At 43.9% G+C, this 18,011-nt stretch overlaps 1 protein-coding gene across 3 annotated transcripts in view, besides 8 other annotated features; it reads right to left on the reverse strand.

Annotated features, from left to right (window-relative positions):
• VPS37B (VPS37B subunit of ESCRT-I) overlaps nucleotides 1-18,011 on the reverse strand; it is a 30,795-nt gene that overhangs the window by 9,681 nt on the left and 3,103 nt on the right. For 2 of the 3 annotated variants that reach the window (XM_011538743.3, XM_017019971.2), the window contains exon 2: nucleotides 4,319-4,495. The exons of the other annotated variant lie outside the window; for it this stretch is intronic. In XM_011538743.3, the coding sequence (XP_011537045.1) occupies nucleotides 4,319-4,495 (177 nt within the window). The remainder of the gene's footprint in view (nucleotides 1-4,318; nucleotides 4,496-18,011) is intronic. 3 annotated transcript variants of the gene reach the window in all.
• Nucleotides 838-1,007: an enhancer, noted in NCBI's record as "active region_7241". NCBI's record gives its function as "activates an Ori minimal core promoter by ATAC-STARR-seq in GM12878 lymphoblastoid cells {active_cell/tissue: GM12878}" and the evidence as "EXISTENCE:reporter gene assay evidence [ECO:0000049][PMID:35858748]".
• Nucleotides 1,732-1,940: a silencer, noted in NCBI's record as "fragment chr12:123361289-123361497 (GRCh37/hg19 assembly coordinates)". NCBI's record gives its function as "represses an EF-1alpha promoter that drives an FKBP-Casp9 reporter gene in an ReSE screen in K562 erythroleukemia cells {active_cell/tissue: K562}" and the evidence as "EXISTENCE:reporter gene assay evidence [ECO:0000049][PMID:32094911]".
• Nucleotides 12,379-12,458: an enhancer, noted in NCBI's record as "active region_7242". NCBI's record gives its function as "activates an Ori minimal core promoter by ATAC-STARR-seq in GM12878 lymphoblastoid cells {active_cell/tissue: GM12878}" and the evidence as "EXISTENCE:reporter gene assay evidence [ECO:0000049][PMID:35858748]".
• Nucleotides 12,469-12,598: an enhancer, noted in NCBI's record as "active region_7243". NCBI's record gives its function as "activates an Ori minimal core promoter by ATAC-STARR-seq in GM12878 lymphoblastoid cells {active_cell/tissue: GM12878}" and the evidence as "EXISTENCE:reporter gene assay evidence [ECO:0000049][PMID:35858748]".
• Nucleotides 13,417-14,133: an enhancer, noted in NCBI's record as "H3K27ac-H3K4me1 hESC enhancer chr12:123372974-123373690 (GRCh37/hg19 assembly coordinates)". NCBI's record gives its function as "activates a minimal SCP1, AML or CMV promoter by ChIP-STARR-seq in naive H9 embryonic stem cells {active_cell/tissue: H9 hESC(naive)}" and the evidence as "EXISTENCE:reporter gene assay evidence [ECO:0000049][PMID:30033119]".
• Nucleotides 13,512-13,806: an enhancer, noted in NCBI's record as "tiled region #12402; K562 Activating DNase matched - State 5:Enh". NCBI's record gives its function as "activates a minimal TATA promoter and a strong SV40 promoter by Sharpr-MPRA in K562 cells {active_cell/tissue: K562}" and the evidence as "EXISTENCE:reporter gene assay evidence [ECO:0000049][PMID:27701403]".
• Nucleotides 16,364-16,865: an enhancer, noted in NCBI's record as "OCT4-NANOG-H3K27ac hESC enhancer chr12:123375921-123376422 (GRCh37/hg19 assembly coordinates)". NCBI's record gives its function as "activates a minimal SCP1, AML or CMV promoter by ChIP-STARR-seq in naive H9 embryonic stem cells {active_cell/tissue: H9 hESC(naive)}" and the evidence as "EXISTENCE:reporter gene assay evidence [ECO:0000049][PMID:30033119]".
• Nucleotides 16,866-17,365: an enhancer, noted in NCBI's record as "OCT4-NANOG-H3K27ac hESC enhancer chr12:123376423-123376922 (GRCh37/hg19 assembly coordinates)". NCBI's record gives its function as "activates a minimal SCP1, AML or CMV promoter by ChIP-STARR-seq in naive H9 embryonic stem cells {active_cell/tissue: H9 hESC(naive)}" and the evidence as "EXISTENCE:reporter gene assay evidence [ECO:0000049][PMID:30033119]".

The following is an 18,011-nucleotide window of genomic DNA, read 5'->3' on the forward strand; positions in this document are numbered from 1 at the left end:
GATTTTTTAAATATCCTTTGGGTATTCAGATGTTTTCATATAAATACGATAACTTTTTTTTTAAATTGAGACAGAGTCTCGCTCTGTCACCGAGACTGGAATGCAGTGGCGTGATCTCAGCTCACTGCAGCCTCCGCCTGCCAGGTTCAAGCAATTCCCGTGCCTCAGCCTCTCAAGTAGCTGGGATTACAGGTGTGTACCACACCTGGCTAATTTTTTTTTTTTTTTTTTTTTTTGTATTTTTAGTAGAGACGAGGTTTTGCCACATTAGCCAGGTTGGTCTTGAACTCCTGACCTCAAGTAATCTCCCTGCCTCGGCCTCCCAAAGTTCTAGGATTACAAGCATGAGCCACCACACCCAGACAAATACAGTAAATTCTAAGTGGCCACCCAGAGAATACCCACAGCATCCTGCAGGATAATGGCAGTAGGGACAATGGCCAGGATGCATGTGCTGAAGGTGAATGTCTTTTCTTAAGCATTGGATAAAACTTTTTAACACTCAAAACCTGCCCCAGAACACACCTTGGATGCTACAATCAATGTAGAAACTCTTTCCTCAATCTTTTCATTGTTACAGTTGGAAAAAAAAAGGGGGGAGGAGAAACAACAGCTTTGTTCATTTGCAAAGCAAAGGCAAATTGGCCAGGACAGGCCCGGGAGGCCTCCACAGGCGCAGCATACACCACTCAGCAAGGCCCAGATGGCAGCCACTCCGGCCACATACACCCGGCTCTCCACCCCTCTCCGACTGATTCCAGCCTCAATGTCTGTGACCAAATCTGTACAGTAAATCTGAGAATGCTTAGAGAGGTATTTTAGGAACCATCAAACTAAAAAAAAAAAAAAAAAAAAATCTTAAGTTGCCACTGTCTTTGTTTCATGGTAGGCACCAACAGATACCTGAAATTGAAAACAGTGATGCCAACCTCTTGATCATTCTCATGATCCTTTTTGTTAACCATAGAAAAGTCTTTTCAGGAAATAATCTCTCTGTGGTAAAGAAACATTCTTATAAATTTACTCAGTTTCACTTCAGTTTCCATTACTTCTCATAAGTGAAGAAAAATGAGATGCCTGATTACAGCATTTGTAGTAGGACCTGGCTTGTCTAAACTTATTTCTGCCCACCTATCCGTGCATGAGCACAGAGAACTCTCTGGAAGCATGCTCACCCCAGGGTAACAGCAGCAGCCCGAGTGGTATGATTTTTTTACTTTCCACTTTCTACTTTTAACTATCACAGTGTTTGATTCATTAGAGCAAGCACGCATAACTTTGTAGAGAAAGGGTTTTTCTGTTTTAAGTTAAAAAAAAGTATCTTATATATACTTATCCAGGCAGAAATGTGGAGGTCTCTTTTTATCTCTTGGGATGCTTACATTAATATATGTAACTCTCTCAGAACACACAGTCTGGCTGGGCACGGTGGCTCGTACCTGTAATCCCAGCACTTTGGGAGGCCAAGGCGGATGGATCACTTGAGGTCAGGAGTTCGAGACCAGCCTAGCCAAAATGATGAAGCCCCACCTCTACTAAAAATACAAAAAAATTAGCCAGCTGTGGTGGCGGGTGCCTATAATCCCAGCTACTGGGGAGGCTGAGGCATGAGAGTTGCTTGAACCTGGGAAGCAGAGGTTGCAGTGAGCTAAGATTGTACCACTGCACTTCAGCCTGGGCAACAGAGTAAGACTCCATCTCAGAAAGAGAAAAAAAAAAAACACACACACTATCTCAAATGCACATGTCATTATTTCTTTATTTGGGTTGGGGGAGTGTGGTAGAAAATAAAGTCAGCAAGAAAGAAAAGAGATCTACAGTCCCCTCTGCATATGCCACGGCTGCTACAAAGGAGAGGCACGCAGGGGCAGAGGCAGAGGCAGGAGACCGCCTGCAGCTCTGTGGCCAATGCTGGGTCAAGGGTGTAGGTTTCCCATGGATGCTTTCCAGACCAGACACTTCTACAATGTGAAATTCTGATTCCAGCTGGCCAGTGTCTAGCTCCTCCACCTGTAATTATAATTGTGCCTTCCTAAACACAAAGGCAGACAAATCTGCCCACATTTCCAAGCTAAATCTTCTTCATGGAAAGATACTCATAGCAGTTCTTTTTACCCCCTTCACACTGTAATATAATACTTACAACAACTAAGTAAGTGACATGACTGAATTCGTTTAGCAAACTTGAACAAACAAATGGGAATCCTTAATAGCACCGGAAGTCCTTTAAATGCTCAAAATCCAGTGTGTACTTGGAATTTGGGCTGCGTTAGGATAAAAACAAAATATGCCCGCACCTACAGCATTCTCAGAAGGCATAGTATTTATGCAAAGTAAATAAATCACATTTTATTTAACAAGCAATCTTTATTGTCATTTTTTATTTTTTGAGACAGGGTCTTGTTCTATCACGCAGGCTGACATGCAGTGGTGCAATCATGGCTCACTGCAACCTTGACCTCCTGAGCTCAAGCGATCCTCTTGCCTCAGCCTCCCAAAGTGCTGGGATTACAGGCTTGAGCCACTGCGCCCAGCCACAAGCAAGCATCTTGTTAAACAAGCATTAGGTCCAGGAATATAAAATGTTCTTCCCACAAAGACTCTGCTCACACTGGCTCTTCAGCCTGGAACGCCCTCCTATCCAAATCTCTGCTGCAAACTCTACCCTAACCAAGGTCTTAGCAACGGAACCTTTTCTAAACCTTCCCCAGCCCCACCAACGCCACACAGAGCTAGACCCTTAGTGGTGGGCACTCCCTGAGGCCCCGCTTGATTGAGATACAATTCACACCTCATACAATCCATCTACTGAAACCATTCCACTCAAGGGTGTCTCATGTATTCGCAGAGTACACCTCTGGCTTCACTGTATTCACACTGTATTCTTCTGTGCTTGTTTGTTCATCTATTCATACATCAAAAAAAATTTTTTCAGGCATCATCACGGGCTGGCTCTGGAAGTACAGGCAATGGAGACAGAAAAGTGAACAGGAAGGTGAGGTTCCTTTCCTTAGGAGAGTGCAGCTACTAAATATGACAAACAGAATCATAAAATCTGTCCACTGCTAGACCGGGTGCGGTGGCTTACGCCTGTAATCCCAGCACTTTGGGAGGCCGAGGCAGGTGGGTCACGAGGTCAAGAGATCAAGACCACCCCGGCCAACATGGTGAAACCCCATCTCTACTAAAAATACAAAAATTAGCTGGGCAGGGTGGTGCCCGCCTGTAGTCCCAGCTACTCAGGAGGCTGAGGCAAGAGAATCGCTTGAACCCGGGAGGCAGAGGTTGCAGTGAGCCAAGATTGTGCCACTACACTCCAGCCTGGTGACAGAGGGAGACTCCGTCTCAAAAAAAAAAAAAAAAAGAAAAGAAAGAAAAACAAAACAAAACAAAAAACCTGTCCACTGCTGTGTCACGAAGGTGTTGTAAGTCTCCTGGGAGTGACAGGATGCTTGTGGTGTGCTGAATGGTGTGCCCCCCTCCCCCAAAAAGATGTGTCTACACCCTAATCTCTAGAACCTACATTTATTGGAAAAAAGGTCTTTGCAAATGTAATGAAGTATCTGGAAATGAAACAATCATCTTTAATCATCTAGGTGGCCCTAATCCAATGACAAGAGTCCTTTTTTTTTTTTTTTTTTTTTTTGAGGCAGTCTGGCTCTGTCACCCAGGTTGGAGTGCAGTGGGGCAATCTCGGCTCACTACAACCTCCGCCTCCCAGGTTCAAGCGATTCTCCTGCCTCAGATTCTCCTGCCTCAGCCTCCTGAGTAGCTGGGATTACAGGCGCATGCCACCACACCTGGCTAATTTTTGTGTTTTCAGTAGAGACGGGGTTTTACCATGTTGGCCAGGCTGGTCTCAAACTCCTGGCCTCAAGTGATCTGCCCGCCTTGGCCTCCCAAAGTGTTAGAATTACATGCGTGAGCCACCCTGCCCGGCCGACAAGAGTCCTTTTAAGAGACACATGGAGAAGACAGAGGCAGACGTGAAAGCCATGTGAAGACGGGGGCAGCATGATGTGGTCACAAGCCCAGGACGCCAGCACACATGAGAAGCTGGAAGCGGCAAAGAAGAGTCCTCCCCTAGAGCCTCCAGAGGGAACAGGGTACCCTGATTTCAGACTTCTGGCCTCCAGAGCTGTGACAGAATTAAGTTTCTGTTGTTGCAAGCTGCCCAGTTTGTGGTCATGTTACAGCAGCCACAGGACTAGTACAGTGCTGGAATCTTCCACCTGTTCTTGAAAACCACTGTCTATCCTGCTCTGTGCCCCAGCAGCCACCTGGCTGACCTATACCAACCCTTCACCCGGACACTCACCCTCAGGTTCTGGTTGGATTCAGCAATGAGGATCAACAGTAGGAGGAAGATGAAAAGGGACAGCGGAGATGGGGAGTGTTCCCCGGGTTGCCTCGCTGAGGTGCGGCTGCAGCTGGGCCAGGTCCTCCAACCCTCCCTTCCTCCAAGGCAGCCCTCTCCTCTGCCCCTCCCGCAGGCCTGGAAGTGAGAAGTGCATGGCTGTTGCTAATCCTGCATCAGGCTTTGGGGGTCTCCACGCTGCCCTCTCCTTGTGGGGAATCCCTTTATTCAACTCCTCACCAATCCCTCATGCTGACTGTGCCATGTCTTGCCAGAAGCCTGACTGAAATAGTTAGAACAGTTTACCCCATGACACAAAATGACACTTGAGCTCACATCCACTCTTTTAATGGTGACCATAAAGCCCCTTAAGAGTAGAACCATGTCTTAATCATTCCCCTGTGCCCAGAACCTAGCGCAGTACCCAGGCTAACACAGGCACATAGCTAAATACTTGCTTGATTGGGCTCGGTGGCTCACGCCTATAATCCCAGCACTTTGAGAGACCGAGGCGGGCGGATCACTTGAGGTCAGGCATTGGAGACCAGCCTGGCCAACATGGTGAAACCCCGTTTCTGCTAAAACTACAAAAATTAGCCAGGCATGGTGGTGTGCGCCTGTAGTCTCAGCTACTTGGGAGGCTGAGGCAGGCAGGAGAATCACTTGAACCCAGGAGTCAGAGGCTACAGTGAGCCGAGATCGTGCCAATGTACTCCAAAAAAAACTTGCTCAATTTTAACCATAAGAATCTTCATAATTGGGGCCTCAGGACACTATCTGTCAGTCATTGTGAAAATCCTGCTAAGCTTTTTTGAAGATTAGCCTTTTTGAATGTTCAAATTCATAAACAGTAACGTCATGGGTTGATACAACCAGCTATAAACTGGGAAACTACTTGCATTCCTAGCTTTTACTCCAGCAGTGATAACAGTTTGGCAGTGAAATGGAAAGGGGGAAAAATGAAGATGATGACACTGATGGCTGGAAAGCGAAGCTACCCATTAACTGTGGTGAAACATGAGACACAAAACACACACGGAGACACAGACACAAGCTGGCTTTGTGCGACGCTTCTCTTCACTGAAATCAGCCCTCTCCCACTTAGAAAGCATATCAGAATGTTAGAGTAGCATTACTGTCATGAGAGCCTCGAAGCCACTATATTTACACGTGTAATTTACACACCGGTGCAGTAGCTCACGCCTGTCATTCTAGCACTAAGGAAGGTAGAGGCAGGAGGATTGCTTGAGCCCAGGAGACCAAGACCAGCCTAGGCAACGGAGTGAGGCACTGATCTCCACAGAAAGGAAAAAAAAAAAACAAACACGACACACACACAGAAAAACCCTAATCCCAAGCTTCCATTTCTACAGCTCATCAGGGCCACAATGACATGCTCCAGCACAGTGGTTGGCCCATTCATCTGTTCGTTCATTCATACAAGAAATACTTGGGAAGCACCTCTGTGTGCCAGGCTCGGGGGAGACACCATCATCACAGGGAGTCTGGCTCAGAGTCTCAGTCAAGCCCATCCTCCTACGTAAGGCACTGAGCGTTGTGCACTGCCCAACTCCAGGGGGTGCCATTCACTTCGTACTGCAGCACTGCATACCCGCACAGACTGCATCTGCTCTTCCAATAAAAGGCTCAAAAGAGAAAAAGGGGAAAAATCAAAACAGATGTGATTTTAACGGTTTAAGTAAGACAAGTTACTGGTGCTGATCTGAAAACTTTGCTCTTGTCAGTATCTTCCACATTTCAACAAAATTTGCTGACATTTGTTGAGCATAGCTAGCATGTGCCACCTTCTCTTAGTTCCACTGTCTCCATTCTATCCTCTGTGACAGTGAGACAAATTTGTCCTCATTTTACTCAAGAGACAGGAAACACAATCTTAGGAAGGTTAAACGAGCTGTCAAAGTTACAACTGCTAGTAACTCCCTCCAGAGCTGCGATCTTAACTACTGTGCAGTGGCTCACGCCTGTAGCCCCAGTTACTTGGGAGGCTGAAGCAAGAGGATCACTTGAGCCTAGGAGTTCAAGGCCAGTCTAGGCAACATGGTGAGACCCTATCTCTAAAAATAAATTATGCCAGGTATGGTGGCTCATGGCTGTAAACCCAGCACTCTGGGAGGCCCAGGCAGGCAGATTGTTTAAGCCCAGGAGTTGGTTGGAGAACAGCCTGAGCAATAAAGTAAGACCCCATCTCTACAAAAAATAAAAAATGAGCCAGCCATGGCAGCATGCACCTGTGGTCCCAACTACTGGGAGGCTGAGGAAGGAGGCTTGCTTGAGCCAGGGAAGGCAAGACCGCAGTGGGCTGTAATCACACCACTACACTCCAGCAGAGGATCAAATGGAAATTTACTAGTTTACTATTTCTCTATTTTCATGTTATAACAACAATCATCTAAGGTTCATTCCTATTTATACCTTTTTTAAAAAAACCTTTTATAGAAGATACTTTCAAAAAGTAAAGGTAGAGAGATGAGTATGATGAAACTATGTATAACCGTCTCCTAGGTTCGACAATTAGCAACATTTGCCAATCTTCATCTATATTCCCGCTTTTTTTTAAAAGTAGTTTAAAGCAAACTTCGAGCATCATCATTCATGCTTAAAAATTTTATATTTCTAACAGGTAAGAACTTTTTAACCCTAGCTACAATGCCATAATCACATTTAGCAAAATTCACAATAATCCTTTAATATCATCCTCTGCATGTGTTGGCTCAATTTCTTCTATAAAAAACTTTTTGCCTCATCTATTTGACTACATGAAATACAGTTTATATAGGAAAAGCTGGATAAATGCTTGGTTCTTTTTTTTTTCTTTTTAAACCAACTTTTGGAAGACTGAGTTCATACCTGAGCAAACTCCAAAAATGACCAATAAGCTTTTTGGGAGTATCATTATGAAGTAATGAAGTTTTTATCTCTGATAAAAGGCTGTTCTGGGACACCACTGCTGCCCTGCTCTCCAGTAAAATATGTCTAAGACCAATCCTGTACATTTGCTGCCCCCAAGCTTAGCTGGCCCTTCTCAAAGGAATACTAGTTCCTTTTGGTGGGAAATTTGATTTTCACCTTTTCCTCTCCAGATAAAATTAAATTCAAAGTTATCTATAACACAAAGAAAAGGAATAAAACAAATCTTAGCTTTTGTACTATTCTACTACTAGAAATATTCTCAAATTGCATTAAGACCTTAAATGCAGCAGGCTTATGGGTTAGGTTTGATAAAGAAAGGCTGCCATACATTCAGCTAGGTTAACTGCATCTCTTTTTATTTTACTATACTTGATTTATCACACCAACTAATTTCAAGGTAAATTTCACCAAAGTAACATGCAATTTGAGTTTGAGCTTTACATTAAAGGCTAGGTTATTTAAAAGTCCAAATTCACCTTCATTCAGTAAAAAGATATTCCCAATGACAAACTAATTTCACCAGTCTCCACCTGAATTCAGGTCTTCAGGTGAAGCCTGTAACCCAAGCCTACGATGGCCCTTAGATGTGCTGTAAACACATTAATGTGGCTTAATTCAAATCTTCAGTTTTACTGAAACAAACTTAACAGTTGCGGAGTTGGACTATTAACATGTTGACAAAATTAAAAGATCTGCAAATACAGAAATATAGTTAAAGAATCGGAGAACATTATGAAACAGTCCTAAAATACGACAATCCTGGGGGTTGTGTGAAACCATCTCCAAGGCTACAGCCCACTCAGGAAGGAAACTTACCAGCTGCTTATCGAATGTTCCACCAAACAACCCACTCCACACACAGAACCTCTAACTTCCAACTATTAGATTAATAAAGATAGCTATTTTTATCGGAGACATCAAAATCCTTCTTGAGAGAAAACTTGCTTCCCTCGAAAAGGAACAGACAGTGAGATCTAGACTCAAACGATCCCCTCCATATGTAGCTGACGTGAATCTAAAAATTGGTACGTGTGAGTGCAGCTAACCACAGAAACACAAAAAGCTAGGCTCGAAAATAAATGGACTATTCCTAGGTAAGATGGAAAGTGACACACTTGACAGTTTCTAGGGCTGGCAGGCACAACTTACCAGGAGAGGGTTTGGTTTTTCCTAGAAGACATATTTTCTTTTCTTTTTTCTTTTTTTTGAGACAAGAGTCTCACTCTGTCACCAGGCTGGAGTGCAGTGGCACGATCTCAGCTCACTGCAACCTCTGCCTCCTGGGTTCAACCAGCCTCAGCCTCCCAAGTAGCTGAGACTACAGGTGTGCACCACCACATCCAGCTAATTTTTGTATTTTTAGTAGAGATGGGGTTTCACCATGTTGGCCAGGATGGTCTCGATCTCTTGACCTCGTGATCCGCCTGCCTTGGCCTCCCAAAGTGCTGGGGATTACAGGCGTGAGCCACCGTGCCTGGCCAGAAGACATATTTTCTAATACTCAGAGGAAAAACAAGCTCTCCCTTCTTCTTGGACTTATAATGTGGATAATGGTGTCAGTAATAAAGAAATATACTAACAGGTGTCAATGGTTCTGATAACTGGCATATGTTATAAAATGTCCTAACTGGCTTCAGAATAACTGGAGACCTTGGAGGAAGGAGGGCAGGAGTGAGGATCAGAAGACAAGATGGGACACCCACACAGATCACAAAGTTAACTGCCTTTGTCCTCTGGCCCTATCCTAGGCCTTCCGAATTAGAATCTCAGCAGTAAAGGCCAGGAAATGCACAGCGGAGCCCTCCACTCCACATCATCAGAACCAGTTAGGTCCCTGTAACTGAGCAGTTTGGTTAAAGCACACACTAAGCATTTTAAAAATCTGTTGTCAATGTTTCATTTAAGGTAAAGGTCTTTTCTTAAGGGAAGGGGTCCACTAGAAGTTCTTTTTCCAATAGGCCACGCCTTTTCCTGTGGGGTGGGAACTGGACACCGGATAAGCAATCAGGGCAGAGTCCGAGTCCTTTGGGAATTCTTCCACTTCCCCTATCTAGTCCAGACCTAATTCACCACCAAGTTTTCTTTCAAGAGAATCAATTTATATCTATGCTTTCCAAAGCACTCAGTTGACAGTTTTTGTAGAAATAACTTTCTCTTTGCACTCATGCAAAAATCCAGTTGCCCCAGGATTTAATGAAATCATAGAACTATTGTAATAAAACCAGAATGAACAGATCTGGGAGTGAACACATTTGATCCTGTGTAAGTATGAGATTCCAGTGTAGGAGCAGAAATGTCCAGATACCTAGTCATGACCACCTGACCATGAGGGGTGTCAGTTAATAGCTTCTACTCCCCTCCCATCTCAAAAAAAAAACCAGCTTACGGAAGACAGAATTCCTAAAATTCTGATTTTCTTATTAATAGTTTCTGGCCAGGACCAACAACCAAAGCATTCATTTGTTTAGGAAGAGCTTCGGGTTTTATTGTTTGTTTTTTCCCCCTCATCTCTATTTCCTTTTTACAATTTCTGGAAATTCATGTCTAAGAATTCTTCGGACCAGTCTTTACACAGGTGCAAATAAGAAAGTGCCTATCCAGGTGGACCCTGGATTTATGTTTATTAAGACTGTATCTTTTGACAATTTTGTTTTTACATTTAAAATACATCATGACATGAACTTTCCAACACCTGACCCGGAATTTGGTTCAACAGATAAAATTTAACTCTCACGTGACTCCAATTACTCATCTTCTATTCCGTTTAAATGAGAAAATGCTATTCTAATAATGGAATTTTTTTTTTCAGTCTGTGGTTAGGGAAAAAAGGGATTAGTCAAAAGAGAATCTGTTGAGATTACTCCACTGAAATTTCGTAATTAAAAAACTATATAATCATATTTCATGTAGGGGATCAGATATTTTACCTAAAAACTGCCTAGACACTTAAGACTTACTAAAAAAAAAAAAAGTTAAATGTTGATCACTTTAACGTATTTGTTTTAAACAGATTTCAAAGATGTTAACTGCATTATAATTTATGACAGCAAAAAAGTGCCTAAATATCCAATAAAGGAATGGTTATATAAATGACATATCCACATGAAAGATCACATAGCTGTTAAAAATCATGTCATGTAAGAATATTCTGATTTAAAAAATAAGAAAATACCCAGAGTATAACTTTAGGTTAAAATCAAACAAAAACTCTACAAAAACTCTAAAAAATCATCCCAAAAGGGAACAACAAAGGAAAAAAACTTAAATGCTTTGTTAACAGTGTTTATCTCTGGGTAGTGATATGATGTGATTACACTTTTCTTCTTTATGGTTGTGTTTTCCAAATTTTCTATAATAAACATGTAAAACATTATTATTATTATTTTTTTTTTTTTTTTTTTTTGAGACGGAGTCTCGCTCTGTCGCCCAGGCTGGAGTGCAGTGGCGCGATCTCGGCTCACTGCAAGCTCCGCCTCCCGGGTTCACGCCATTCTCCTGCCTCAGCCTCCCGAGTAGCTGGGACTACAGGCGCCCGCTACCACGCCCGGCTAATTTTTTGTATTTTTAGTAGAGACGGGGTTTCACCGTGTTAGCCAGGATGGTCTCGATCTCCTGACCTCATGATCCGCCCGCCTCGGCCTCCCAAAGTGCTGGGATTACAGGCGTGAGCCACCGCGCCCGGCCGTAAAACATTATTTTTAAAAGTTTGATTAGTTGGGATCAGAAATAAAACATACTATTATACTTCCCTGCCTTCTTAAACAGAGTACATGAAACTAAGGTAGCTTTCCTTGATGATCTAGAATTGTCCTTATGAATATCAAGTGACTATGGTGCTGTCTCTGATAGAGCAATACTCTTGGGCTATGGAAGCAGATGGGTATGTTTCTCCCCTAAATAAGCATTTGCCAAAGTGTGCCCCCAAGGACTCAGTCCTGTGAGCTTTTCTAAGAGTTGCAATCAAGTGTGAACGAGAAATACTGTGTAGGCTGCCCCTCTGGAGCTTCACCACACTCTAGCAGAAGAAACAAAACCTCTCTTGGCCGGTGTGGTGGCTCACGCCTACAATCCCAACACTCGAGAGGCCAAGGCAGAAGGATTGCTTGAGCTCAGGAGTTTGAGAACAGCCTAGGAAACCATAGCAAGACCTCATCTACACTAGAAATCAAAAAAGTCAGCCAGGCGTAGTGGCAAGCGCCCGTAATCCCAGCTACTCAGGAGGCTCGTTTGATGGAGGCTGCAGTGAACTATGGTCACACCACCATGCTCTAGCCTGGGCGACAGAGACCCTGTCTCAAAAAAACAAACCCCTCTTTAATTCCCAAATTGATTTACCATGGAACTCTTTTTAATGTAATTATAATACAATTAACATCCACAAAATTAGAGATCTAAGGAAAACACTACCCTAATCAAAAGGCCACAAAATGTATTCACAGTAACAGCTTCCACTTACTGGGTTTTCTTGCCAGGCATGGTGTAAAATAGTTTATACGCATCATCTTATTTAATCCTCAGAATAACTCAATAAGGATGGTATTACTAACTCCCATTTTAAAGAGGAGGAAACTGACACTTAGGAAGGTTAAATACTTGCCCCAAAGTTTCCTAGCAACCCAAATCCTGTCTTAACCACGATGCTTCAACAGTCAACTTTCCAATTTTTGTACGGCTTTTATGACTTTTGCCTCCTATCACTTATTTCTTGATGATGTTATTGGTTCTTCTAGTTTTTCCCCACAGTCTTAACATTTGCCACTGGCAGATAAACCACATGACTAAGTGATTATTTGAACTGTGTGCAAAAGCAAGACTCAACAGGCTCTGCTATAAGTCCAGTATATGTCCTTGAAGTCAGTTATCTCGGCTGCCCAACGATCATTTTTATCAACCATCTTTCAGCCTCCTAACTCATATCCCAGCTTTCTAATCTCATCCCCCTCAAATCCATCCTTCCCCTGGCTGCCAAAACGATCTACATAAATGGCGAGTGTGACCAACCGCAGCACTCCCTGGCTTAAATCCTCCAACGGCTCCCTGCCTAGAGGATCAAGCCCAAGCTCCTTAACAGGGCATATGAGGCCATCTGGTCCCTGACTGCCTTTTGGGCCTCAGCCCCCACTACACCCTGCCCTGGTCCCTCCAGCAATACTTATAATATTCCTGTATGCACACACACTCTGTCCCGGCTTCTTCCCTAAGTGCCTTTGTTCCTCCCATATGCCTGGGAGCCCTTCTCCCTCATTACCTGGCTAACTCTTAACTCATTCTCTGAATCATAACTTATGAGTCATTCATCTTCTCCAGGAAACACTCCCTGCTGACCCCCCACCTTCCAAAGGCTTACTGGATCTCCCCCCACCAGTGTGTGGGCCTCACTACTGTTTCACATGTACCCTGTACACCTGCATGATCCTAAATGATGAAAACTATGTGGTTTACTGGTTTCACATCCCCCAAGTGGCACACCACAGATGCTCCGCAAAGGCTGGGTACATGAATAAACTTCTTGACCTCAGTCATGTTCACATTAATGAAAACTACTGTCTGATGGCAAACATGTTAGACCACTTTTGTTTTTTTTCTTTTAGACAGGGTCTCACTATGTCGCCCAGGCTGGTCTCAAACTCATGGGGCTCAAGAGATCCTCCCACCTCAGCCTTCGGAGTAGCTGGATTTACAGGTGTCAGCCACCACACCCAGCTCTGATGACAAACATGAATTTGCACTATGTTCCTCTACTATCCTAGACACTGGGCTGCAGATGTAACCTCGAGGTGCCATTAGTTAACCTTGGAGATAAAAGGTTTGATTTAAAAGAAACATTAGCTGTAACGCTGCTTGAAATATAAGAAATTATTCAAATATCTACTTTTCACATAAACTCTTTGACAAAGTAATGGACTACGTTCCTCACAATCCCTTGACAAATACTTTGAAAAGCCTTCCCTTGACACACTGTAACGTATTCTAGAGACAACAAAGCTAAGCTAAGTCACCTCTCTACTTTCATTCTTCCCTTGGAAGAAATTCTACAAAGGCATTTCCTCTGCTTTTGTATCATTGGGTAAGACATCATTTCCAATGATGAAATCTGAAAACTCACACAGCTGGGGAAGGAAATAAACCAACGAGAACTCTTGTCTCAGCATGTTCTGAGCGCCAGTGATTACCTACGAGTGGCTGGCACACGGTCTTCTAGATCACCTCCCACTGCGTACCTGGCATGAATCTCCATAGCAACATTCTGCTACAAATACTGTAATCAAAGCCAAACAGGCAACAAGGCCGGCATTCCTCAGCTCAAGAACACAACCACTCTGCATACGACCGACCGGTGAGGGTCAAACAGTGCAGTCTACTTCTGGGTTCCTCTTCCAGCCAGTCTCTAACAGGATGTTAGGTCATCCAACTTGTTTCTCTCGTTTCTCCCCTCCCTTCGATGGCAGCTCTTTCCTTCTCCCAACCCACTAATAGCTCCTAGTGGCCTTTCAAACTTTTATATTCTCCTTGATTTCCACAAGCACTTGGAGGAGAGTGGCTTGAATTTCTGTCTCCAAGCAGAGCATTCACCCTGAGCTCCAGAACCACACTCCAACTGCCTGCGGGACAAAGCCCTGCCCATCCCTCATGCTCTGCCTAATCCGGCCTCAATGACTCCCTCCCTCCTGCACCCCCACTGCCCCTCCCCTCCCCGCTCACCAGAGCCCTGTCTCCTACTCACTTCCACTTGAAGCCCGGTTATCACCACTCACTCAGCAGCACTACCCAGGCACATCCTGGGTGCCAGGCACTGTGCTGGGTGCCAAGGACAAAAAGACAAACATGACAAAATGCAGCCCCCAAGCCAGTGGGGGACACAGGGAAGTGACTTACAAAATGTGTGTCAAGTGCCACAGGAGAGGTATACAAAGAAGCTAAGAGACCACGTGCCTGTGACAGAGGTGGGGAAAGCACTTCAGGTCAGCAGGAGAGGGGAAGTGAGAAAGGGAGTCGGGCCAGCTGGTCCGAATACCTCTCCCAGAGCCCTAGCTCAAATCCTAATTTCTTCCTAACCTCCACTTCCGCCGCCAACCTGGTCCTGCCACGCCAAGCCAGCCCACGCTTTGCTGACAGATTAACCTCCCTAAAGAGCAGTTTCAGGCCGGGCGCGGTGGCTCACGCCTGTAATCCCAGCACTTTGGGAGGCCGAGGCGGACGGATCACCTGAGGTCAGGAGTTCTAGACCAGCCCGACCAACATGGAGAAACCCCATCTCTACTAAAAATACAAAATTAGCCGAGCATGGTGGCGCGTGCCTGTAATCCCAGCTACTTGGGAGGCTGAGGCAGGAGAATCGCTTGAATCCGGGAGGCAGAGGTTGCGGTGAGCCGAGATTGTGCCATTGCACTCCAGCCTGGGAGACAAGAGCAAAACTCGGTCTCAAAAAAAAAAAAAAAAAAGAGCAGTTTCATCCGACTGCTTCTCTGCTCCAAAATCATCACGAAGCTCCTTGTTTCCTCCTAAATTAACCACCATGGGGCGCACACCCTGGCACTCCCCCTCACCAGCCCTATTTCTTGTCATTTCTCTACACACAAGTACATGCCATCTGGCCAAAGTAGACGAGAACTCGCTCGTCGGACAACCCATCCCTGCTTTCCTGCCTCTGTGCCTGTGTCACTTCCTCCTGAGCCCCCATTTTTGTCCATCAAAAGCCTACTTAGAGAAATAAATAATTCACAACAGTGGACATGGGGAAGAGCACACTGAGGGCAGAGCACAAGGCGGGGGGTTCCGCCGGTTGGCAGTGTTTACTTCCTCGGCTGGGTAGCAGGTAGACAAAGTTCCTTATTCTCTGTGCCCTCTGGTAGATATTATTCTATTTAATAATTTATTTTCTTAACGTTTACCTACCCACCAAGTCTGTCTCTTTTGTTTTGTGGGAACGTAAGTTAAAAAACAAAAACAAAAAAAGTCTGTCTCTTGCATCAGAAACCTAATGTAGCCAGAGAGCTTTTTCATCTGAACTTCAATGTCATTTAGAATTCACACGTGGCTTTTTTTTTTTTTTGAGACAGCCTCACTCTGTCACCCAGGCTGAAGTGCAGTGGCATGATCATGGCTCACCACAGCCTCAACCTCCCAGGCTCAGGCAATCCTCCCACCTCAGCCTCCTGAATATCTGGGACTACAGGTGTGTGCCACTATGCCCAGCTAATTTATTTTTTGTAGAGATGGAGTTTCGCCATATTGCCCAGACTGGTCTCAAACTACGGGGCTTAAGTAATCTTCCCACCTCGGCCTCCCAAAGTGCTAAGATTACAGGTGTGAGCCACTGCACCCAGCCTGGCCTTTTTCTTATTCTCTTTTTCAAAAAACTGTGGTATAATATACATAAAATTTTCCATCGTAATCATTTCTAAGAGAACAGTTGACAGTTCAGTGGCACCGAGTACATTCATATTATTATGCCACCATCACCACCATCTACCTCTAGAGCCCTTCATCTTCCCTAACAAACTCCCTATTCCCTCTTGTATTGTAGACATTTCTGTATTTAGTTTATTCCCAAATTATAATCTAGCAATTATGTCCTACTTGTGTATCTATCCCTTACAATGCCCTGCACAGGGAAGTGTTCAAGAGCTGTGGAACTGAAATGGAATCTTCCATTTGGGCATCAAGGAAACTACGCCTTTTAGCTAACAATAACTATTTACCAAGTGTTCACTCTGTGCTAAGTATCATATTAGGCATCTTACTTATTTCATTTAATCTACCCAACAATGCTATGAAAAAGGTTATTGTTATTTTCTCCTTAATTTCCAGTGAGGTAACTACAATTAAAAAGACTAAATACTTGTCAAAGGTCAACTACTGGTATCAAAAGCCAGTTCTGACTCCGACCACTGTGTGATGCCACCCACCACTGCACTTTTAGCAAACGCAGAAGAGCAACTAAATAAATTGATCAAATTTCATCTAAGCCAGTCTACATATTCTGAAAATTGCATCTTAATAAAAGGGAGCTGGCCTCTACTGAATGCTTCCTCTGTACCATTTCTGTTGTGACATTTAGCCTTACAAGTACTCTAAAAGATAGGCATATTATCCTTCCTTTAACAGTTGAGGAAACTGAAGCACAGGGTTTAAGTCACTTAAAGTCACACAACTCAGCTCCGTGCTTTCCATGAAATCTTGATGCCTCACTTAAGGATAAAATGACATACAACTGAATTTCAGTACATATTCCTAGGCACAGTAATTTTTTACTCATGTAAAAGGTCCATGGAAAAGATTTAAACGTAAAAGTTGAAGCCTTTACACGTACATAATGATTATAAAACATGGATAAAAACAAACTCCAGTAGTATTATACTCAAGAGTGCAAATCTTAGCTTCTAAAACAGTCTCACCAGCATTCAGAGTGTGTTTGGGAGCCGGTCCCTGGATTTAAAGCAAGGTCAATACATTTCAATGAGCCATTATGATTCATGCAGTAGCTTTCAGCCCCCCACACAAATCACACCCGAACACGCCTTAGGGAAACAGCTTCTTCCAGACCAGAGCTCTTTACTTTCCACAAAACAACCTGTCTTTCAGACCCTCAGCATTTTTGCATGCGGGCATGGGCATTTTCATGCCATGGGAACAAAGATCCCCAATTTGAATTGTTAGTGGAATCTTTAGCAGTAACCAATCAGCATTTCCTCAGAAAGCACAGTGAAGTAATTCAAGAGGTCCGGTTTAGTTGCCTAATCCCCTAAGCGACAGTTCCTTTTAAGGGAGTGCCCTGCAAGTCCAATGGGGTTAATGTTGACAGATGAAGGCACATTCCACTGCCATGTAAAAATAACTTTAAATAAAAATAAAATACATGCATATGAAACATTAGCCTGCAGCACAGACAAGAGAATAAGATCATGAAGGATATACTACATTTAGGGAATTGCATAATGAACAGGAGGAACAGGAAGAGAGAAACTGACACACAGGCCCAGAAAATGAGGACCGTAGCTCCGAAATCATGTTCACTACTTAAACTGCACTGAAACTCACACGCCACAATTAAAACAATGTAAGTGACGCATAATGAACAGCTGCACTTAAACCTAACAGTGAATGCCTTCAAAACCTAGCCACATTTTCCAGCCTCCACAAAATATCCCCTCAGGCTTAAAGAAGCCTTACTCTACAATTTAAAACACTTCCTTCTGCCAATTAAAAAAAAAAAAAAAGAAATCCTTTGGTTCAGGTTAAGAAATTCTATGCTGGGAAAGGCCTGTTATATTTACCATTTCACCCTATACCTACTCAAATACATAATCATTTTGACCACAGAAAGATCAATGTTTGGCTGGGCGTGGTGGCCCATGCCTGTAATCCCAGCACTTTGGGAAATCAAGGCAGGAAGATGGTTTAGGGCCAGGAATTCAAGAGGCAACATAGCAAGACCCCATCTCTACAAAAAAACAAAAATAAAAAATTAGCCGGTGGCAGCGGGGTGCGGTGGCTCACGCCTTTAATTCTAGCACTATGGGAGGCTGAGGCAGGCAGATCACCTGAGGTTAGGAGTTCAAAACCAGCCTGGCCAACATGCTGAAACTCCGTCTCTACTAAAAATACAAAAATTAGCTGGGTGTGATGGCGCACACCTGTGAGCCCTGCTACGCAGGAGGCTAAGGCACGAGAATCACTTGAACCCAGGAGGCAGAGGTTGCAGTGCGCTGAGATTGTACTA

This window comes from Homo sapiens, chromosome 12, assembly GCF_000001405.40.
Source record: "Homo sapiens chromosome 12, GRCh38.p14 Primary Assembly".
NCBI lineage: Eukaryota > Metazoa > Chordata > Mammalia > Primates > Hominidae > Homo > Homo sapiens.